Source organism: Homo sapiens, chromosome 10 (assembly GCF_000001405.40).
Source record: "Homo sapiens chromosome 10, GRCh38.p14 Primary Assembly".
Taxonomy (NCBI): Eukaryota; Metazoa; Chordata; class Mammalia; order Primates; family Hominidae; genus Homo; species Homo sapiens.
In genome coordinates, this window is record NC_000010.11 from 29,358,933 (window position 1) to 29,378,364 (window position 19,432).

The 19,432-nt window shown below is 42.9% G+C and overlaps 2 long non-coding RNA genes across 2 annotated transcripts, besides 4 other annotated features; one reads left to right on the top strand and one right to left on the bottom strand.

Annotated features, from left to right (window-relative positions):
• Positions 7,172-7,673: an enhancer, noted in NCBI's record as "H3K4me1 hESC enhancer chr10:29655033-29655534 (GRCh37/hg19 assembly coordinates)". NCBI's record gives its function as "activates a minimal SCP1, AML or CMV promoter by ChIP-STARR-seq in primed H9 embryonic stem cells {active_cell/tissue: H9 hESC(primed)}" and the evidence as "EXISTENCE:reporter gene assay evidence [ECO:0000049][PMID:30033119]".
• Positions 7,674-8,173: an enhancer, noted in NCBI's record as "H3K4me1 hESC enhancer chr10:29655535-29656034 (GRCh37/hg19 assembly coordinates)". NCBI's record gives its function as "activates a minimal SCP1, AML or CMV promoter by ChIP-STARR-seq in primed H9 embryonic stem cells {active_cell/tissue: H9 hESC(primed)}" and the evidence as "EXISTENCE:reporter gene assay evidence [ECO:0000049][PMID:30033119]".
• Positions 7,674-9,089: a biological region, named in NCBI's record as "BRD4-independent group 4 enhancer GRCh37_chr10:29655751-29656950".
• Positions 7,890-9,089: an enhancer, noted in NCBI's record as "BRD4-independent group 4 enhancer chr10:29655751-29656950 (GRCh37/hg19 assembly coordinates)". NCBI's record gives its function as "activates an origin of replication core promoter dependent on BRD2, P300/CBP, MED14 and CDK7 cofactors, and independent of BRD4, by STARR-seq in HCT116 cells {active_cell/tissue: HCT116}" and the evidence as "EXISTENCE:reporter gene assay evidence [ECO:0000049][PMID:35650434]".
• On the top strand, positions 8,680-15,438 carry LOC107984217 (uncharacterized). Its single transcript, XR_001747402.3, has 3 exons — positions 8,680-8,768; positions 9,308-9,485; positions 15,388-15,438. It is a non-coding gene; the product is annotated as an uncharacterized LOC107984217 (long non-coding RNA).
• LOC105376473 (uncharacterized) lies at positions 14,055-15,987 on the bottom strand. Its single transcript, XR_930786.3, has 3 exons — positions 15,912-15,987; positions 15,344-15,497; positions 14,055-14,339 (listed from the first exon to the last, which is right to left on the bottom strand). It is a non-coding gene; the product is annotated as an uncharacterized LOC105376473 (long non-coding RNA).
• Positions 15,988-19,432: the final 3,445 nt, after the last annotated feature.

The following is a 19,432-nucleotide window of genomic DNA, read 5'->3' on the forward strand; positions in this document are numbered from 1 at the left end:
CCAGCATGGGTGGTGGCGGTGGACGCGAGCAGGTGTTGGCTGTGTGGGGTGGTCCCCTGATCTCCAGAGGGCCAGCGGCTTCAGGGGCAGCATAGTGCCTGCCAGCAGGAGGCCAAAGAAGGGTGATTGACTCATTCCAGAGCACATCCCACATAGCATCCCAAGCCACCTGCAAAAACCAGCCAAGGCTATTTAAGGAAGCTGCATTCCAGGGGCTCAAAGTCTATCGTGATTTGGATAGTTACAGGGTAGCTATGACATTTTTATAAATTAACAAGCTACTGTGCTATGCCCTAGGCATACCAATTACAACAGCGTCTTTGGAGCCATTAGTCCCATGGGGAAGCCTCACAAAGGCTGTTTTAATTGCACTGACGACTCTTTGGAATTACTGGCATTTATTTATTTATCTATCTATTATTTTTTCAGAGACAGGGAGGGTCTCACTCTGTGGCCCATGTTAGAATTCAGTGGCACAATCATAGCTCACTGTGGCCTGCAACTCCTGGGCTTAAGCCATCCTCCTGAGTCAGCCTCCCCAGTAGCCAGGACTACAGGCCTGGGCCACCACAACTGGCCAATTTTTTTTTTTTAGACAAGGTCTCACTCTGTCACCCAGGCTGGAGTGCAGTGGCATGAAGTCAGCTCACTGCAACCTCCGCCTCCTGAGTTCAAGAGATTCTCCTGCCTCAGCCTCCCCAGTAGCTGGGATTACAGGTGCCTGCCACCATGCCTGGCTAATTTTTGTATTTTCAGTAGAGACGGGGTTTCAATACTAGGCTGGTCTTGAACTCCTGACCTCAGGTGATCTGCCAGCCTTGGCCTCCCAAAGTGCTGGTATTACAGGCATGAGCCACCACACCTGGCCTAATTTTATTTTTATTTTTTATTTTTGTAGAGTCCGGGTCTCACTATGTTGCCTAGGCTAGTCTCAAATTTCTGACCTCAAGCAATCGTCCTACCTCTTCTTCCCAAATCTCTGGGATTACAAGCAAAAGCCACCATGCCCAGCCATTACTGGCATTTAATTCTATGTCCCAGGTCAAGCAGATGGCAAATATGGGAGTTGGGACTTCATGGGAAAGAAATGATCAAGCTGATGTGGTCACCTTAGGATGATGAAAATTCACCATTTTTAATAAGGTAAATGGTGTATAACGACTCCACCACGAGTCTTGTCAGGTCAATTTCATGACTGTCAATCAATCATTCTATCATTTAATTTCCATTTAAAAGTTTTTAATCTTTTTTCATTACCCTGCAAATCAACTCAAGTAAATCATTATACTTACAGTCATGTACCACATAAGGATGTTTAAGTCAATGAAGAACAATTTATGTGACCAAGTAGTCCCGTAAGATTATCATGACGCTGAAAAATCACCTAGTGATGTTGTAGCCATTATAACATCATAGTGCAATTACTTTTTTTTCTTTCTTTCTTTTTTTTTTTTTTTTGAGATGGAGTCTTGCTCTGTCGCCATGCTGGAGTGCAGTGGCACTGTAGCAGGACGAGCCGCAGACAAAACCTCTCAGTCACCGAGTAGTAGAAGGAACGGCTTTATTCAGCTGGGAGCATCGGCAAGCTACTGCCTTAAAATCCGAGCTCCCCGAGTGCACAATTTCCGTCCCTTTTAAGGGCTCACAACACTAAAGATTTCACATGAAAGGGTCATGATTGATTTGAGCAAGCAGGCGGTACGTGACAGGGGCTGCATGCACCAGTGGTCAGGGAGGAACAGAACAGGGCAGGGAGTTTCACAGTGTTCTTCTATACAGTGTTAGGAATCTATGAATAACATCGGCTTCTAAATCATAAGTTGATTTTTAACTACTGGGTTTAGGCCAGGCGGGCCCAGGCCTGGTTTCGGGCCTGGCGCCGGGCTGCCTGTCTTTGGTTTTACTTCCTTGTTGTTTTTTCTTAAAACAGGTACTGAATATAAAATAATATGAGAGGGTCTTTCTCTTCCTTCATTCCCCCCTTTTGAGATTCTCACTTTTTATTAGTGGGAGTTCTCACTCTTATTTTTACTTATGTCTTTTTGTGCAATAGATTAATAGTGATTCATATAGTACACTTGTGCTGAAGCATTTTGGTGAACTAAGGTAGCGATGAAGCTTTTTATCATTTGAAGAAGTACAGGTAGCAAACAAGGGACCAGTTAGCAGGTTTTTATTATTATAATTCCTATTATAAGAGTTTTAAATTTTTCTAGTGCTGGGAACCACCTTCTAAACATGGCTTCAGGGTTGAATCCATGCTGCACTTGCACGGAAACATGTGCCAGTTGTGTCATATTTTTAACTATGTCTTTAACTACTTGCCTTTGATTATCTATGTGTAGACAGTAATTAGTAAGGTTAAACTTTTCGCAAACTCCTCCTTCAGCTGCTAGCAAGTAGTCAAGAGCTAGTCTAGTTTGATAGATAGCATTTCTCATCTGAGTCTCTTGCCGGGTAAGAACAGTCAAGGCTTGACTGGTTTTATTAGTAATAATTTCTAAAACAGCTTGTAATTGTATGATTCAGTTGAGCATGTAGATGGGGGTCCGATATCTCCATGAGCCATCTTGTGTCCAAGTGGTAGGTCCATAGTATTATATGACTTTTTTCAAGGGGCCATTTATTATCTTTTTAATTACCTATGGCTATGCTTCGTTTTGGTATTTTTGTTTTTTTTTTTTTTTCTGGGAAGCATAGATTGGGAAGCCCAGAAGTTCACCTGTTTTCATGGGCAGTAAGAAGAAAGATGGCTTAATGGTGCCAATTACACAGCTACCTGTCCACTGATCAGGAAGCTTAGCATAAGCTTTCTGTCCACATATCCAGTATAACCCGGTGGGGCCATCCAGTCCCGGTGGAATTCTGGATGGGCCCAAACAGTCTGCAACTTTGAAAATTTACTGAATGGATTTATTTCTGTATAATTGGAACTCCATCAGGTAACTGTTTTTGTGGTACCATTATACAGCTTTTGCCCAAGACAACTAAGCCACCCTACAGGATGAGTGAATCTTTTTCCTTCTTTAGCTATGCAATACTGTCTAATAATTGAGACTTTTAGAACGTAGAGATGATCAGGGTGATTCTTTTGGGCTGGGAATTTATCAGGAACTGGGTCTGTAGGAACTAATTCTTGGGCTTCCCATGGCCATTGATTTCCTGTTAATGGTTTCTCCACAAACATAAAATGAGGTGACTTGCAGAGATTGGGTTACATGTTCGGCTAATTGCAAAAACAAATTTTTAGTTTTTCCTGGAATTTCAGGTACTGGCACATTTAGTTCCTCATAGAAAGTCTGAAATACTTGTTCTGGAGAACGTTTTTGAACGTCTCCTTTTATTAGGATGCTTACACCCTAGGATCTAGTCCCTTTCCATCAATGTCTAATGATACATATTTTTCTTTTATTTTACTTTGGGTCTGAGGGGTTTGTGATGATCAATTCTAAAAGGTTGCAGCTCCCATTCATGCAGGAGGGGCTGACTTTTCCTTTTTGGAGTCAAACAGGATCTTTTTTATTTTCCTTTTAAGTAGTCCAAATGACACAAGACCAGTATTGACACATCTCACATAAATATGATTTTTGACAGATATACTTATTTTTTTATGGTGTACCTTTTTTTTTCTAATCTAGAGAACTGCATCCTCTCCCATGCTGCTTACTATCAGTAGCAGCACAAGCATCAAATTTTAAGGTTACATTTTTGGGGACCCCTCTTTTTTTATGTTCTAGCTATTACCTTACTTGTGTCACCTAGAAAAGGACCACTCCTTAATTTCATTTTAAAAACTGTGATTATGGGATGCTTAAAATGGGTCATAACATGCATCAGGTTGGTTATTTCCTGGGCTACATACCTTGGTAGGATAGCATTATACAAACAAGTTTCTTTTAGAGTCCTGGTACACTTATAATAACCATAAAATAATAGGACTGTAGCAATCTTTTGTCCTACCTCAGTGACTTGATGAATATACTGGAAACAGTTCTCAGTCTGAGGAAGGTCAGTTGAAGTCCTTACTATACAAGTCCAAATTTTAAGGAAAATGAGTCCTGTGATGAGTTTCCTCATGTTTCGGCCGTGTGTGGACCAGTTAGCTTCCAGGTGTGACTGGAGCAGGGCTTGTCGTCTTCTTCAGAGTCACTTTGCAGGGGTTGGCGAAGCTGCTCCTATCCACGTGCAGCTCCCAGTCTACTGATGGTCTCGGTGGTTGGGCCCACTAGAATAAACTGAGTCCAATACTTTTACACAGTTATGTTTAACTGAGCTCTCTGATACCAGGAGTAAGGTGGCGGGGTTAGGGTGTTGCAAACTTTAATGGTTATGCGGGGATTTTCACAGAGCAAGCTTTGGTATCTAGTTAGTCTAGCATTTATTAGCTAATGATGTCCTTTGGTATTTATTAAAATCACCACAGCATGGGGAGACTTTATGTTTAGGTTTTGCCTAAGAGTTAGCTTATTTGCTTCTTGTGCTAACAGGGCCATTGCTGCCAGGGCCCTTGGACATGGGGGCCAGCCTTTGGAAACCCTGTCTAGTTGTTTTGAGAGATAGGCCACTGGCCTTGGCCAGGGCCCTGCAGTCTAGGTTAACTCTAACTGCCATTTGTTTTCTTTCTGACACATAGAGTGTAAAGAGTTTTGTCAGGTCAGGTAGCCTCAGGGCTGGGGCCGACATGAGTTTGTTTTTTTTTTTTAAACTCATGAAAAGCTTGTTGCTGTTGGTTGTAATAGATGTAGTTTATCTAATCTACATTTTTATTGACTGTCATCTACCAAAATATTGACTTAAATCTTCTAACTATTTGATTTTAAGCTTTAAATTGATCTGGTATTCCTTGCGGGGCTTCAATTGCATCTAAATAGATGTGAGAGTTGAAAGACCCATAAGGGGCTTCTCTCGCTTTACTATGTCTTATTATTTTTATTATTTTTTTCCTTCCTCTGATTGATGAAATGCCAGGGTGAAAGGGATAGCCAAATGGACTAAAGCACAAGTGCCACTCTAGTTATTCAGCAGAGTGCCCAGTAAAGGTCCACCACAATACCACCACACATCCACTCGGGGATGAACAAGGGCTGACTGATAAGCTCTTGAAAATTCTTAAGCTCACTGCATCCCTTCAGGTCTCCAAGGAATCTAAGTCTCCTCCCTACCGTGAGAGACACGAAGTGAACTTAGTGTTGGGAGACGGAAGCTGGACGGCCCTCGGGGGCTGACCCGCAGGGTGCCAGACTTCGGGATATAGCAGAGAGAGCTTGGCATGACTTGTTACTCCAGGCTGTAGAATCCTGCAAAAGAGCTACTATGCAGCCCACGCCTGGTGGACTGGAGGACCACCTTAGTGGAAGGGGGACAATAAGGGCCTCTGGCCTGCCATGTGCACAAGCATAACAATTGCTTTTGTTTAATGTGCAGATGGAATATTTGATCCATTTCAACTAGGCATTTGCATCTTGGTATGCTGTCTTAATTGCCAAAGTTTGTTTTAAGTCTTTAACTTTTATGATCCTCTAGTAAAATGAATGTTTTCTTTTGTACCAATTTTTATTAGTTTTTAGACCAAAGAAAGCTAAACACCATTTTATATTTAATAATGTTTCTTGTATGATTTTTATACCAGATAAGCTAAATTTTACCATTATATTAGTGTGTTATTAATATTAAACTTAATTTTAATAAAACCTTGTAGACATATTTATCCAATTTTTTATATTTGACCATAAGGTAAGATTTTATAGACTCTTTTTAACCTTTTATAATTTTTGTTAAAGAGCAGGTTGATGCTTTAAGAAAAAAAACCTGTTGCATTTTTACTTTCATGTCCAGTTCACAGAGAAACTGGATGATACCTTTTTAACTTTAGCTAATATGTTTACACACAGAATTTTCTTTACAATTAACCTTTTAAAACTTGCTTAAACTTTTAAAACAATAATTTTCTTAACCTTTTAATGTAGGTAAAAATCCACATTCTTATGCCTCCTTATAATCTTTTTATTAAAGGTATATTTTACTTTTTTATACACCTTGCACATAAACTGTTTCTTCAGTAGTACTCAGGAGGCCTTATTCTTTTAAATTATGCAACATTTTTTGCATAAAATTTTTTATAACTTTTTTTTTCACGAAGTGAAAAAGTGATATGGTTAGATAGACAGATACTTACCATTGTGTTCCAGTTGCCCGCAGTATTCAGTACAGTACATGCTGTGCAGGTTTATAGACTAAAAGCAATAGGCTACACCATAGAGCCTGAATGTGTAGGCGGCTGTGCCTCTAGGGTTTAGTTTAGCTTTGTTTTGTTTTGTTTTGTTTTTTGAGACGGAGTCTCTTTCTGTCGCCCAGGCTGGAGTGCAGCGGTGCGATCTCGGCTCACTGCAAGCTCCGCCTCCCAGGTTCACACCATTCTCCTGCCTCAGCCTCCCGAGTAGCTGGGACTTCAGGCGCCCGCCACCACGCCCTGCTAATTTTTTGTATTTTTAGTAAAGACTGAGTTTCACCATGTTAGCCAGGATGGTCTAGATCTTCTGACCTTGTGATCCACCCACCTCGGCCTCCCAAAGTGCTGGGATTACAGGCGTGAGCCACCGCGCCCGGCCACCTCTAGGTTTTTGTAGGTACATTGTAGGGTGTTTGCAAATGACAAAATCACCTAACGATGAATTTCCCCCTCCTTTAAGTGACACATGACCATTTCCTCGAAAAAAGGGGTCTTTCTTGGGTCTGCCCCTAGAAAGTGTTCTTGGATCTCGTGTAGGAAGGAATTCGAGGAGAGTCACAGAGAGCAGTGAAAAGAGATCGTTTATTGAAAGCTACTGTGATGCAGAGTAGGGCATCCTCAGAAGGCAAGCGGAGGCGCACCTCATCTTTTTTCTTATCTAGGGGTTTTGACTATGTAGAAGCTAAGCTAAGCTGTATCTATGTGTAGGTAGGTAGACAGCATGACAAAGTGTATTATTCTGTTGATTTAAAGAAAACTTTGACATTTTAGTGTGTGTGTACTCTAAAGCATCAAGTAATTAATCTTGAAAACATATTGTTATTAGTATTGGGACATCTGGACTTTCTACTGAGAGGTGACAACGTGCTGGCAGTCCTCACAGCCCTCTCTCACTCTCTGCGCCTCCTCTGCCTGGGCTCCCACTTTGGTGGCACTTGAGGAGCCCTTCGGCCCGCCGCTGCACTGTGGGAGCCCCTTTCTGGGCTGGCCAAGGCTGGAGCCCACTCCCTCAGCTTGCAGGGAGGTGTGGAGGGAGAGGCGCGAGCGGGAACCGGGGCTGCGTGCCGCGCTTGCGGGCCAGCTGGAGTTCCGGGTGGGCGTGCACTCGGAGCAGCCGGCCAGCCCTGCTGGCCCCGGGAAATGAGGGACTTAGCACCTGGGCCAGTGGCTGCGGAGGGTGTACTGGGTCCCCCAGCAGTGCCAGCCCACCGGTGCTGCGCTCGATTTCTGCCCGGGCCTTAGCTGCCTTCCCGCGGGGCAGGGCTGGGGACCTGCAGCCCGCCATGCCTGAGCCTCCCACCCACTCCATGGGCTCCTGTGCCGCCGGAGCCTCCCCAACAAGCACCACCCCCTACTCCACAGCGCCCAGTCCCATCGACCACCCAAGGGCTGAGGAATGCGAGCGCACGGCGCAGGCCTGGCAGGCAGCTCCACCTGCAGCCCTGGTGTGGGATCCGCTGGTGGGGACGTGGAGAGCCTTTATGTCTAGCTCAGGGATTGTAAATACACCAATCAGCACCCTGTGTTTAGCTCAAGGTTTGTGAGTGCACCAATCGACACTCTGTATCTAGCTGCTCTGGTGGGGCCTTGGAGAGCCTTTGTGTCTAGCTCAGGGATTGTAAATACACCGGTGGGCACTCTGTATCTAGCTCAAGGTTTGTAAACACAGCAATCAGCACCCTGTGTTTAGCTCAAGGTTTGTGAATGCACCAATCGACACTCTGCATCTAGCTGCTCTAGTGGGGCCTTGGAGAACCTTTATGTCTAGCTCAGGGATTGTAAATACACCAATCAGCACTCTGTATCTAGCTCAAGGTTTGTAAACACACCAATCAGCACCCTGTGTTTAGCTCAAGGTTTGTGAATGCACCAATCGACACTCTGTATCTAGCTGCTCTGGTGGGGCCTTGGAGAACGTGTGTGTCGAAACTCCGTATCTAACTAATCTGATGGGGACGTGGAGAACATTTGTATCTAGCTCAGGGATTGTAAATGCACCAATCAGCGCCCTGTCAAAACAGACCACTGGGCTCTACCAATCAGCAGGATGTGGGTGGGGCCAGATAAGAGAAGAAAAGCAGGCTGCCTGAGCCAGCATTGGCAACCCGCTGGGGTCCCCTTCCACACTGTGGAAGCTTTGTTTTTTCGCTCTTTGCAATGAATCTTGCTACTGCTCACTCTTTGGGTCCACGCTGCTTTTATGAGCTGTAACACTCACCACGAAGATCTGCAGCTTCACTCCTGAGCCCAGCAAGACCCCGAGCCCACCAGGAGGAACGAACAACGCCAGACGCGCTACCTTAAGAGGTGTAACACTCACCGCGAAGGTCTGCAGCTTCACTCCTGAGCCAGAGAGACCACGAACCCACCAGAAGGAAGAAACTCCCAACACATCTGAACATCAGAAGGGACAGACTCCAGACGCGCCACCTTAAGAGCTGTAACACTCACTGTGAGGGTCTGCGGCTTCATTCTTCAAGTCAGTGAGACCAAGAACCCACCAATTCCGGACACACTACTGTTGCAGAAGTGTGTCCTTGTACGTATGTTTAAGCTGTTTCCTTTTAACCGTAAGCATCTTAAGACTATGGGTAGTGGGTAACAATGAATGTGGTTACCTGTTGGTCTCAAGACAGAGCTGAACCTAAAATGGCGTTACCGTGGCTCTCCTAGACTTCGGCTTCCCTAACATGAGTGGAATAGAAATTACATTCCATGAATGGTTTCACTATGTTCTGCTTCTCTCCTCCAGCTCCTGTTACAATCACTTTGAAATTAGAAATTCAGTGAAATATTCCAAGGATATCATCACCGAAGGGGATTGTGAAAATCAGTGAAATAATGCATTCTTAATTTTAAAAGTTCTTGATACAGTATAACCCTGGACTTCAAAAAATTTCACGAAGTCTTAGAGATGTACATATAAGACAAAAAGTAAAGCACAGGAACAAATTGGTGCATGTAATTGAAAATCAGCTTGATTCAGATGCTTCGTTGACTGTGGTTGAAAACTGTTTATGAGGGCAGGTTTGCATATACACAGAAAATAAAGCTTGCATCTTTTTTTTCTTCCAACAGGTCAAGCATTTACAGACAAGAGTGGAGAAAAATGGAAACTCATCAAACAAGTGATATAAGTAGAGAAGTCTGGCACATTGATGTTATCACCAGATATGGCTTCATAGGAGGGAACAGTGCACATTGAAGTTGACAGCCACCGCAGCCACTGCAGGGCCCAGCCGTACCCTTAGGAAAGGTGTGAATCTCAGAACACCCCATACACGAGGATCCTGTCCCCATGATCCTCGTGGCTTAACTCTTTGTACCTTCTTGATTCAATTCGGTGCCTTTTCATTTAATATCTCTTTTAAACCTTTCTCCATACACATTTCCCTCTCCCCAAAAGAAAGAAATTTCTAAAAATATATATAACTGTAAGCAGCAGAACGTTTTCTGCAAATGTCACATCCTTGTTCTTTTTGTTTTTTGTTTTGTTTTGCTTTGCTTTTGAGACAGAGTCTCGCTCTGTTGCCCAGGCTGGAGGGCAGTGGCGCAATCTCGGCTCACTGCAACCTCCACCTCCTGGGTTCAGGCGATTCACCTGCCTCAGCCTCCCAAGTAGCTGGGATTACAGGCATGTGCCACCACGCCCAGCTAATTTTTGTATTTTTAGTGGAGATGGGATTTCACCAGGTTGGCCAGGCTGATGTCGAACTCCTGACCTCAGGTGATCCACCCGCCTCCACCTTCCAAAGTGCTAGGATTACAGGCATGAACCACTGCCCCCTGTTCCTTGTTCTTATTTCATATTCTGTTCCTCTCCTGGTCTATCTTCTTTTGCCATTTCACTTTTTATGTGTATCCTTTCCCCAGATGGCAAGCAAGAAAAAAAAAAAAAAACTCAATCCTGTCAATTGGGAATATTTATTAGCAGCTTTCATTAAAAGAAAGAAATACTAGAGATAAGCTTAAAACTCTTAGCCATTTTTATTTCCCTTGATGTTCGTATCTACCTACCACTTTCCATTTCTAATTCACAGTTAATATTATCTGTATTCTGCTTCAGATAGCGTGCCAGGTTAGTGACACACCCTGGCCTCAGTGATCTTACAACATGTTTCCCTCAACACAAACAATATGAAAAGACATATGATTAATTAGAGGGAGTAAAAAAAAAAAATAACCAGATCAATATTAACAAAGCCAAGGATAACAAGTCAGAATATTCGAAAAAGTCAGAGGACATTGTAAGAAATTATCTAGCAAAACTCTTCCACCAAGAGATGAGCGAAAAGAGGGAGAAGTTATGCCTGGCTGCTGTGTGCTACCCTTGACCTTGGGAAAGTGCTTTAACAAATCTACACTTCAGTTTTGTGATCTGTAAAACGAGTCTAGTACTAATATCTACTTCATGCAGCTGCTGTGTAAATGAATATGGTAATCCCTGCAATGTACTTAACAGTGCCTGGGACGTAGTAAGCCCTCAATTACTGTTAGCTGTAATAAAAATATCATGATTGTTATGGAGCCCACATCACTGAGTATGTTGGTGGTTAGCAAGTACTAGACGCTAAGGGTCTTCATTATTAATCATGTGTTTTAGGAATGGGATAGCTTTTCCTCTCATGAGTGGCTGGAGCAACGAGGGGTGCCCACATCGGATCTGTAGGACATTTGAGCTCATGGCTGGAGCCAGAATGATGCAGCCTCTTTTCAGCCCTGTGGCTTTGGTATTTTGCTTCTACAAGCCTCAGTTTCCCCACCTTTGATGAAGGAAATGAGGGCATGCCTTACAGATGGTGATGAGGCTTGAGATAGTGCATGGAAGTGGGAATGATCTGGGCATTGGGGGCATGGTGAGGAAAGAGAGTGTGGGCATCTCTCTGTTTCATAGCCTGCCAAGTCTGGACTCTCTCACTCTCCCAGGAACCCCTGACATGCATCCATTTATTTTTCGGAAATTGTTTTCGATTGCGGCAAGTAGATATGCAACTACTGTGTATGAAATGACTGGCTCAGTTACGAAGAGGGAGCTACCAGAAAGAAAACGTATGCAAGAGAACATTTCCCAGTGAAACCAGATCAGACCAAGGATTTACACCTCTTCTGCAGAAGCAAAAACATTTGCTTTCCACGTCATCCGAATGTTTGCAGCTTTGATGCCAAACCTAACGCGTTAAGCCCGGGCAGGCATGGCAGGCTCCGGAGAGGTTCTGTGGGCTGGGCAAGCCAAGGTTTAGGAGCCCCTTGTCCACATAAGTCACAGCAGTTCCCCACTTTGTGGAGGAAATTAGCTCAGAGAAATGCCAAGTGTGATAAAAAATGAAATAGATTGACATTCCAATAAAATAAGCTCGTCTACCCTCTGTACACCCCCTGGGTCCCTGGAGATGTATATATTCCAGAAATAGCATTACATTCACATTACAGCATATTCTTGGTTCAAAACTAACACATCAGGGCTCTGCCGCTCCCAAAGCTGCCAGGAGACAGCTCTGACTGATGTCCAGCTCACTTCCACACGATGTTACAAGTTATGATTACTGATGATGACAGATCGTTACCAGGGGAGTATTTTCACGGAATAGGCAGATTGGAAACCCAAAGGAAAACCAACATATTAAAGGGACATAAAAGCCTTAGCTTCATGCAGTGGAATGTGACATCACCCCCTATTCAGCACAGGGGTGGAAGGCAGGGAGGAGGAACAGGAGAGATTTTCACCCACCATTAGGAGGTCTGGGTTCCATCCCTTTTTCATGCCAACTCACTCCCCAGCCCCAGGGGTAATTGCTATGTGGCTCTACACAGGTCTCCTGCGAGCTTTAAGGGTGAATGAGCTAATGTTGTTGAGATTCATAGATAAAAGCTGGTAAAGTACACAGGGCACTCTCTGAGTTTCTGAAAGAAGACTTGTTAGTGTTTGGGAAATTGCAGAAAGTCTCTTGACAGGACCAAGGATGTCATGCTTTCTGTGTCCTGCCTGTGTTGCCCAGGGAAGAAGACACTGTTCCTTCCTTCCTTCCCCAGTGATTCATTGGCCAGGGTGAGGAGGTAGAAGAAGAAATACCAGGAACCACATATCCAAACAATTTTGCCCTCTTCTGTTTTGTAGATAAAGTATTTGAGGTGACGCTCACAATTCAAGGAGATATCTCAGGGTATAAGATTTATACCAATTTAAACTACAAGTCCAGAGAAAAGGAAGTTTGGGAAATTCCCTTTAACTGATTTTGGGAGAAAAAAGACAGGATTGAGAATCAGGGAAACATTTCTGATTTTATGTGTACTGGGACATTCTTGCTGATGTAAGATAACATATTTTGCAGTAGATCTTTAATTTATGCCTCTCACTGGAGCCCCCTCTTCATTCCCATGTAGCTGAACCCCACTCCTTCCTCTTGTAAGTTGTTCTTTTGCATTATTTTACAAAAGTAAGCCATGCTTATTTGAAAAGATTTATGCAATATAATATAGGAAATAAAACTGAAGATAAAACTGAAAAACCTTAATTTCTTTTCTTAACCCCTTGCCATTAGCCACAGTTAAATTATCACTGATGGTTTGCCAGTGCAATCAGAAATGTAGGTATGTTTATGTGCATGCCCATAGTGATAGGGTTTTTAAAAAAACTATTGCTGGGATCATACTATGGACATATTATTCTGTGACTTATCTCTCTAATGGTGTATAATGGTGTATAATAGACATCATCTCGCTATTTCTCTTTATTTCTTTAAAGTCCTGCTCAAACCCTGCCCCTTCCATGAAAGTTTTTCTGCCAATTTCAGCTCTCCTTCTTTTGAAACAAGACATGTAATAGTATTGAGGGTATTACATGCATCTGGGCTCTTGCAGCACAATTTATGTCTACTGTCTTGGATCTTCCCAACAACCTTACAATGTTGGCATTATGATCTTCCTTCTGTGGAGGAAATTGAGGCTAAACAAAATTCCTTGCATTGCCCAGGGTCAGGTAACTGTAATTCCATGGAAGAGCCAGACTTTGACCCAAATGTTTCTGGTTCCCAAGCCCATGTTCTTTCCATCATCCGCACTGGGCTTTCATTCTTTAATTATATCCACTCATTCATAAAATAGTTCCTGAGTTTCCACCGTGTTACTCTGCTTTATCTGGGTGCTAGAGATTCAGTGGGGAGCAAAGGCAGTTTTTCTCACCTTCTGTTACTTACTTATTTCCTGTCTTATAACATGCCCTGCCTTATTGATAGACTGCAGTTTGCCATTAGCACGGGTATGATGGAAGGTTTCTATCGAATCAAACTAAGACTTAGTAGAAATGCAAGACATTTTGCCTCATCATTAGAAGACAGTGGGCCGGGCGCGGTGGCTCACGCCTGTAATCCCAGCACTTTGGGAGGCCGAGGCGGGCGGATCACGAGGTCAGGAGATCGAGACCATCCTGGCTAACACGGTGAAACCCCGTCTCTACTAAAAATACAAAAAATTAGCCGGGCGAGGTGGCGGGCGCCTGTAGTCCCAGCTACTCGGGAGGCTGAGGCAGGAGAATGGCGTGAACCCCAGGGGGCGGAGGCTGCAGTGAGCCGAGATTGCGCCACTGCACTCCAGCCTGGGCGACAGCGAGACTCCGTCTCAAAAAAAAAAAAAAAAAAAAAAAAAGAAGACAGTGGGGGAAAAAATCTCATTATTTTTCAAAAAGCCAAAATGTTATTTTTATCTCACATGTTTAAAATCACAGAAAAAAGTAATTAATAACCCTCTTTTTAATCATATTTAATCTTAATCATATTTGTCTTCATCATTAGTCTGCTCAGGCTGCCATAACAAAACACCATAGACTGAGTGGGTTAAGCAACAGGCATTTATTTCCATAGTTCTGAAGGCTGCAAAGTCCCAGATCACAGTGGTGGCCGATTTGGTTCCTGATAAGGGCCCTCTTCCTGGCTTGTAGACAGTCGCTTTCCTGCTGTGTGCTTACATGGCGGAAAGGGACAGCGACCTCTCCCTCTTCCTCTTCTTATCAAGCCATTATCCCATCACGAGGGTTCCACCTTCATGACCTCATCCAACCCCAATTATCTCCCAAAGGCCTCATCTCCAAATAGCCACATTGGGGTGGGGCTTCAACCTATGGATTTTTGAAGGGATACAATTTAGTCCATAACAATGTTCTTCTCTTGACTAATTCTTACTGTAATGAATATTTAGGGACTGGGTGAGGTGGCTCACACCTGTAATCCCAGCACTTTGGGAGGCAAAGGTAGGAGGATCCCTTGAGCCCAGGAGTTGAAGACCAGCCTGTGCAATATAACAAGACCCCACTCTATAAAAAATCAAAAAATTAGCTGGGTGTGGTGGGGCACACTTGTAGTCCCGGGTTCTAGGGAGGCTGAGGTGGGAGGATGGCTTGAGCCCAGGAGGTCAAGACTGCAGTGGGCCGTGATTACACCACTGCACTCCAGCCTGGGTGACAGAGGAAGACCCTGTCTCTAAAATATATATATATATATATACATGTATGTGTGTGTGTATGTGTGTGTGTGTATATGTATATTTACTATATATAATAAATTTTATGTATTTCATATATATGTATTTACTATATATAGTAAATATACAGCAAATATATAAAAATTTACTGTATATAATAAATGCAATAGTATATTATAGTATAGTATTATAGCACATATAACAAATATATAGTAAATATATATATATTTACTATCAAAAACCAGAACGACATTGAGCTTTAAACTCCCATCCCTCTAAGTATTTCTGTTTTTATCATTCATACATTTTTTTGTGTTTGACAAAGTCTCACTCTGTCACCCAGGCTGGAGTGCAATGGCACCATCTTGGCTCACTACAACCTCCGCCTCCCAGGTTCAAGCAATTCTCCTGTCTCAGACTCCCAAGTAGCTGGGATTGCAGGTGCACCCCGCCACACCAGGCTAATTTTGGTATTTTTAGTAGAGATGGGGTTTTGCCATGTTGGCCAGGCTGGTCTCAAACTCCTGACCTCAAGTGGTCTGCCCACCTTGGCCTCCCAAAGTGCTGGGGTTACAGGCATAAGCCACCGTGCCCAGCCATTCATACATTTTTTAAAGATAATTACAAAAAAGAGATCTTTACCTGTCAGGGAAGTAAGAGATAAAAACATTTTTGGATCTTCTCAGGAGCTCTTTCTGATATAAACGCTATGCAAGGACACACATTCCAGAGACACGCCCCATCCATTCGGCTGCGCCGCTGCCATGGGAGGCCAAAGAAGCCTGCAGCTGTAAGCCTGGGAGAGTGACAGAAGAAGGTACGTGGGCCTCATTTAGAAAATGTAAATGAATCAAATGAGACACATTCAAATTATATCTAAGTATTGGCTCTGGAAATTGCATCTGTGGTGAGGGAAACTGGGGATAACTCCTAGGAAAAAAAATACAGAATATATATATATATATATATATATAAAGTATAAACCTCTTTGAGTTGCGGGTGGTAAGGTGGGAGGGAAATTCATAGGTTAGCCAATGTATGAGTGAAAGCATTCAAGTATATGCTTTAAAAATAATTTTTTAGCCTAAAAATTTAAAATTTGCACCCAAAGTTTTGTTTCACAGGTTGATCAACCAATTATCGGAGTCCCCTTCATATAAGTTATTTCACAATTGACCCTGTCATAAAGGAAAACTTTCACCAAAAATACCCTTTTTTTTCTTTTTGAGGTTTTCCCTTTATATGGAGTTGTGGAAAAGTAGAGTTTCTGACGGAAACTGTCTTGCTTTATAGCTAAATATAAGAGCAAATCCAAGTACAGCAGAAAACAATTATCCAGAAGTGGCCAGGGAAGCATTCCTGGCTTGTAGTCATGTGGTCTCAGGAGGCGGGCAAGCCCTTTGCACAAAACCCAAACCTTACAGTATGAATGGCAGGGGTGTCAAATCAGGGTTAATAATTCAACACAAGAACCAAGCCCAAAGGCCACCCAAAACTAAGTTCAGTGGCTGAAACAGAAGCCCAATAGGGGTGTGGCACTGTGCCCATATTCAACATAAAAATAAATAAATGGGCCACTGTGGGCAGATGTGAGGACATCCCAAGTTGTCCCCTGGGGACAGACCTCCCCACCCCCAGGTCCATCCAAGGTACAGAAGAGTGCTTTTCTCTAACACATCACCACCTTTAAATGAAGAAATTTTGTTTCCAGAAACTTCTTTTCTTTTCTTTTTCTTTTTCTTTGTGTGTGTGTGTGTGTGTGTGTGTGTGTGTGTGTGTGTGACAAAGTCTCACTTTAGCCCAGGCTAAAGTGCAGTGGTGTGATCACAGTTCACTGCAGCCTCAGCCTCCATGGGCTCAGGTGATCCTCCCACCTCAGCCCTCCTAGTAGCTGGGTCTACAGGTCACACTCCCATGCCTGGCTAATTTTTTATTTTTTGTACCTGCAGGGTTTCGCTAGTGTTGAACACCTGAGCTCAAGCAACCCACTCACTTTGGTCTTCCTGGGATTACAGGCATGAGCCACAGTGCCTGGCCTCCAGTAAGTTCTTAATAAAAAGGAAATAAGCTATATGCAATGATGGACACATTAAGCCATCATCATCCAATGTTCTCTTAATACAGATCATTCATTCAATAAGTGGACTCTGAAATTTTGCTTTTGGAAAGCCACCATACCTGGCACTGAAAAGGGTGCATTAGATGTAGACCAAATATTTAAATCTCTGTTATCATGGAAATCAAATGAGTGAACAAGTGTCAAGGTACGTTTGACCCTTCCAGTGTCTTCCCGATGCTGTTTGCTCTGATATGAGTTAAGATCTTGACTCTGGAGTCAGACTGCCTGGTTGTATTTAGGATCCACTACTAGCTGGTGTCCTTGGGAAAACAAAATAGGGATAATAAGAATATCTTATTCACGGAGTGGTCACGGGAATTAAGTGAGATGATATATAGGAAGCAAGGATTAAGTGAGATGATACCTAGGAAGCTGTAACAATGCCTGGAGGCAGCATGTGCTTTGTTTTTGTTGTTATTGTTGATACTGTTTCTATGTTTATATACATTTTTCTCTTAGAAAAAGAAAATTTTAGAATTTTCCTTTAGAAAAGAAAAATTTTTTCTAAAATATTATTAGAAAAAATATTTTGTCTAAAAAATAGTTTTCATATATAGTATATATATTGTATATATACTATATATACATTGCATATATATACACTATATATACACATTGTGTATACATATATGTATATATATATATATATATATATAGTAGAGATGGGGTCTCACTATGTTGCCCAGGCTGGTCTTGAACTCCTGAGCTCAAGCAATCCTCCTTCCTCGGCCTCCCAAAGTGCTGGGATTACAGGCATGGGACACTGCGCCTGGCCTAATGCTATATCTATAATGAATTTTTGCAACTCTGATATCTCATACATAGTCTAGGAGCCCTATAAACTAACTACTAGTGTTCTTTAAAAGATAACGTAAAATAGCAACAACGAAATAAAACAGTAGAATAAAAGTGCAAAGTTCTATGGCAGAATGGCGAAGGCTTAGTGTTGGAAACAATTATGAGAAAGGCAAGTTCCTCAACCTTCTAAAGTTTTGTTTTCTAACCTGTAAAATGGGGAGAATAATGAGTGCCTTGTTTTGGAGATGAGATGAGGTAATGTATGTAAAATTAGTAGGTTTGGTAGGTGCTATTACAGTGCAAATCGTTAATTGAGATATCATTTTTAATTAAAAGATGAAGATGGCCATGCACAGTGGCTCACACCTGTAATTCCAACACTTTGGGAGACTGAGGCAGGTGGACGGCTTGAGTCCAGGAGTTTGAGACCAGCCTGGGCAATATGGCGAAACCAAGTGTCTACAAAAAATACAAAAAAAAAAAATTAGCTCGGCATGGTGGCTCGCGACTGTGGTCCCAGTTACTAGGAAGGCTGAGGTGGGAGGATCGCTTGAGCCCAGAAGGCAGAGGTTGCGTTGAGCCAAGATGGCACCACTGTACTCCAGTCTGGGCAACACAGGGAGATCCTGTCTCAAAAAAAAAAAAAAAAAAAAAAAAGCCGGACTCGGTGGTTCACCCCTGTAATCCCAGCACTTTGGGAGGCTGTGGCCGGCGAATCACCTGAGGTCAGGAGTTCGAGACTAGCCTGGTTAACATGGTGAAACCCCGTGTCTACTAAAAATACAAAACTATAGCCGGGCGTCGTGGCGCGCGCCTGTAGTCTCAGCTACTCAAGAGACTGAGGCAGGAGAATTGCTTGAGCCTGGGAGGCAGAGTTTGCAGTGAGCCAAGATCACACAGCTGTACTCCAGCCTGGGAAACAGAGTGACAGTCTTTCTCAAAAAATAAAAAAATAATAATAAAAAAAGAAGGCACGCTGGCTGACTCAGGATATCCACTAGGTGGTGCTAGAAAACAATGGCCAATCATGAAGCATTCATTTTCAAAGACCTGGCATTTTAATCTTTTATTTGAGTGTATCAGGAAACAGTTTCTTTCTTTAAAAATTGTTTTTTATTTCAATAGTTTTTGGGGTGTCTTTTGTAACATGAATTATATAGTGGTGAACTCCAAGATTCTAGTGCACCCGAATAGTGTACATTGTACCTGATGTGTAGTTTTTTATCCCTAGCGCTCTTCCCCTTTCTGCATCTCTAAAGTCGATGATATCACACTGTATGCCTTTGCATACTTGTAGCTTAGCTCCCACTTATAAGTGAGAACATGTGGTTTTGGTTTTCCACTCCTGAAGAATAATGGCCTCCAGCTCCATCCAAGTTGCTGCAAAAGACATTATTTCCTCCATTTTAATGGCTGAGTAGTATTCCATGGTGTATATATACCACGTTTTCCTTACCCACTCATTGGTTGATGGGCACTTAGGTTGGTTCCACATCTCTGCAATTGTGAATTGTGCTGCGGTAAACATACGCGTGTGGTGTCCTTTTCATATAATGACTTCTAGGAAACGCAGTTTCGATGAACACTCCAACCTACATTCCTTGCATCACTTTGGGACTTTTACCTACTCCTATAATTCTCAAACATTTCCGCCCCTCTGCCTTCCAAGTAAGATGCTTACTCAGCCAACAATTCCTGAGTGCCTGCTGTCTGCTAGGTGCTGGATACACAAAAATGAAGAAAATGCAGTGCCTGGGCCGGTCATGAATTCCACTGTGGATGCGTTAAGTTTGAAGTTCCTGTAGTACTTCCGG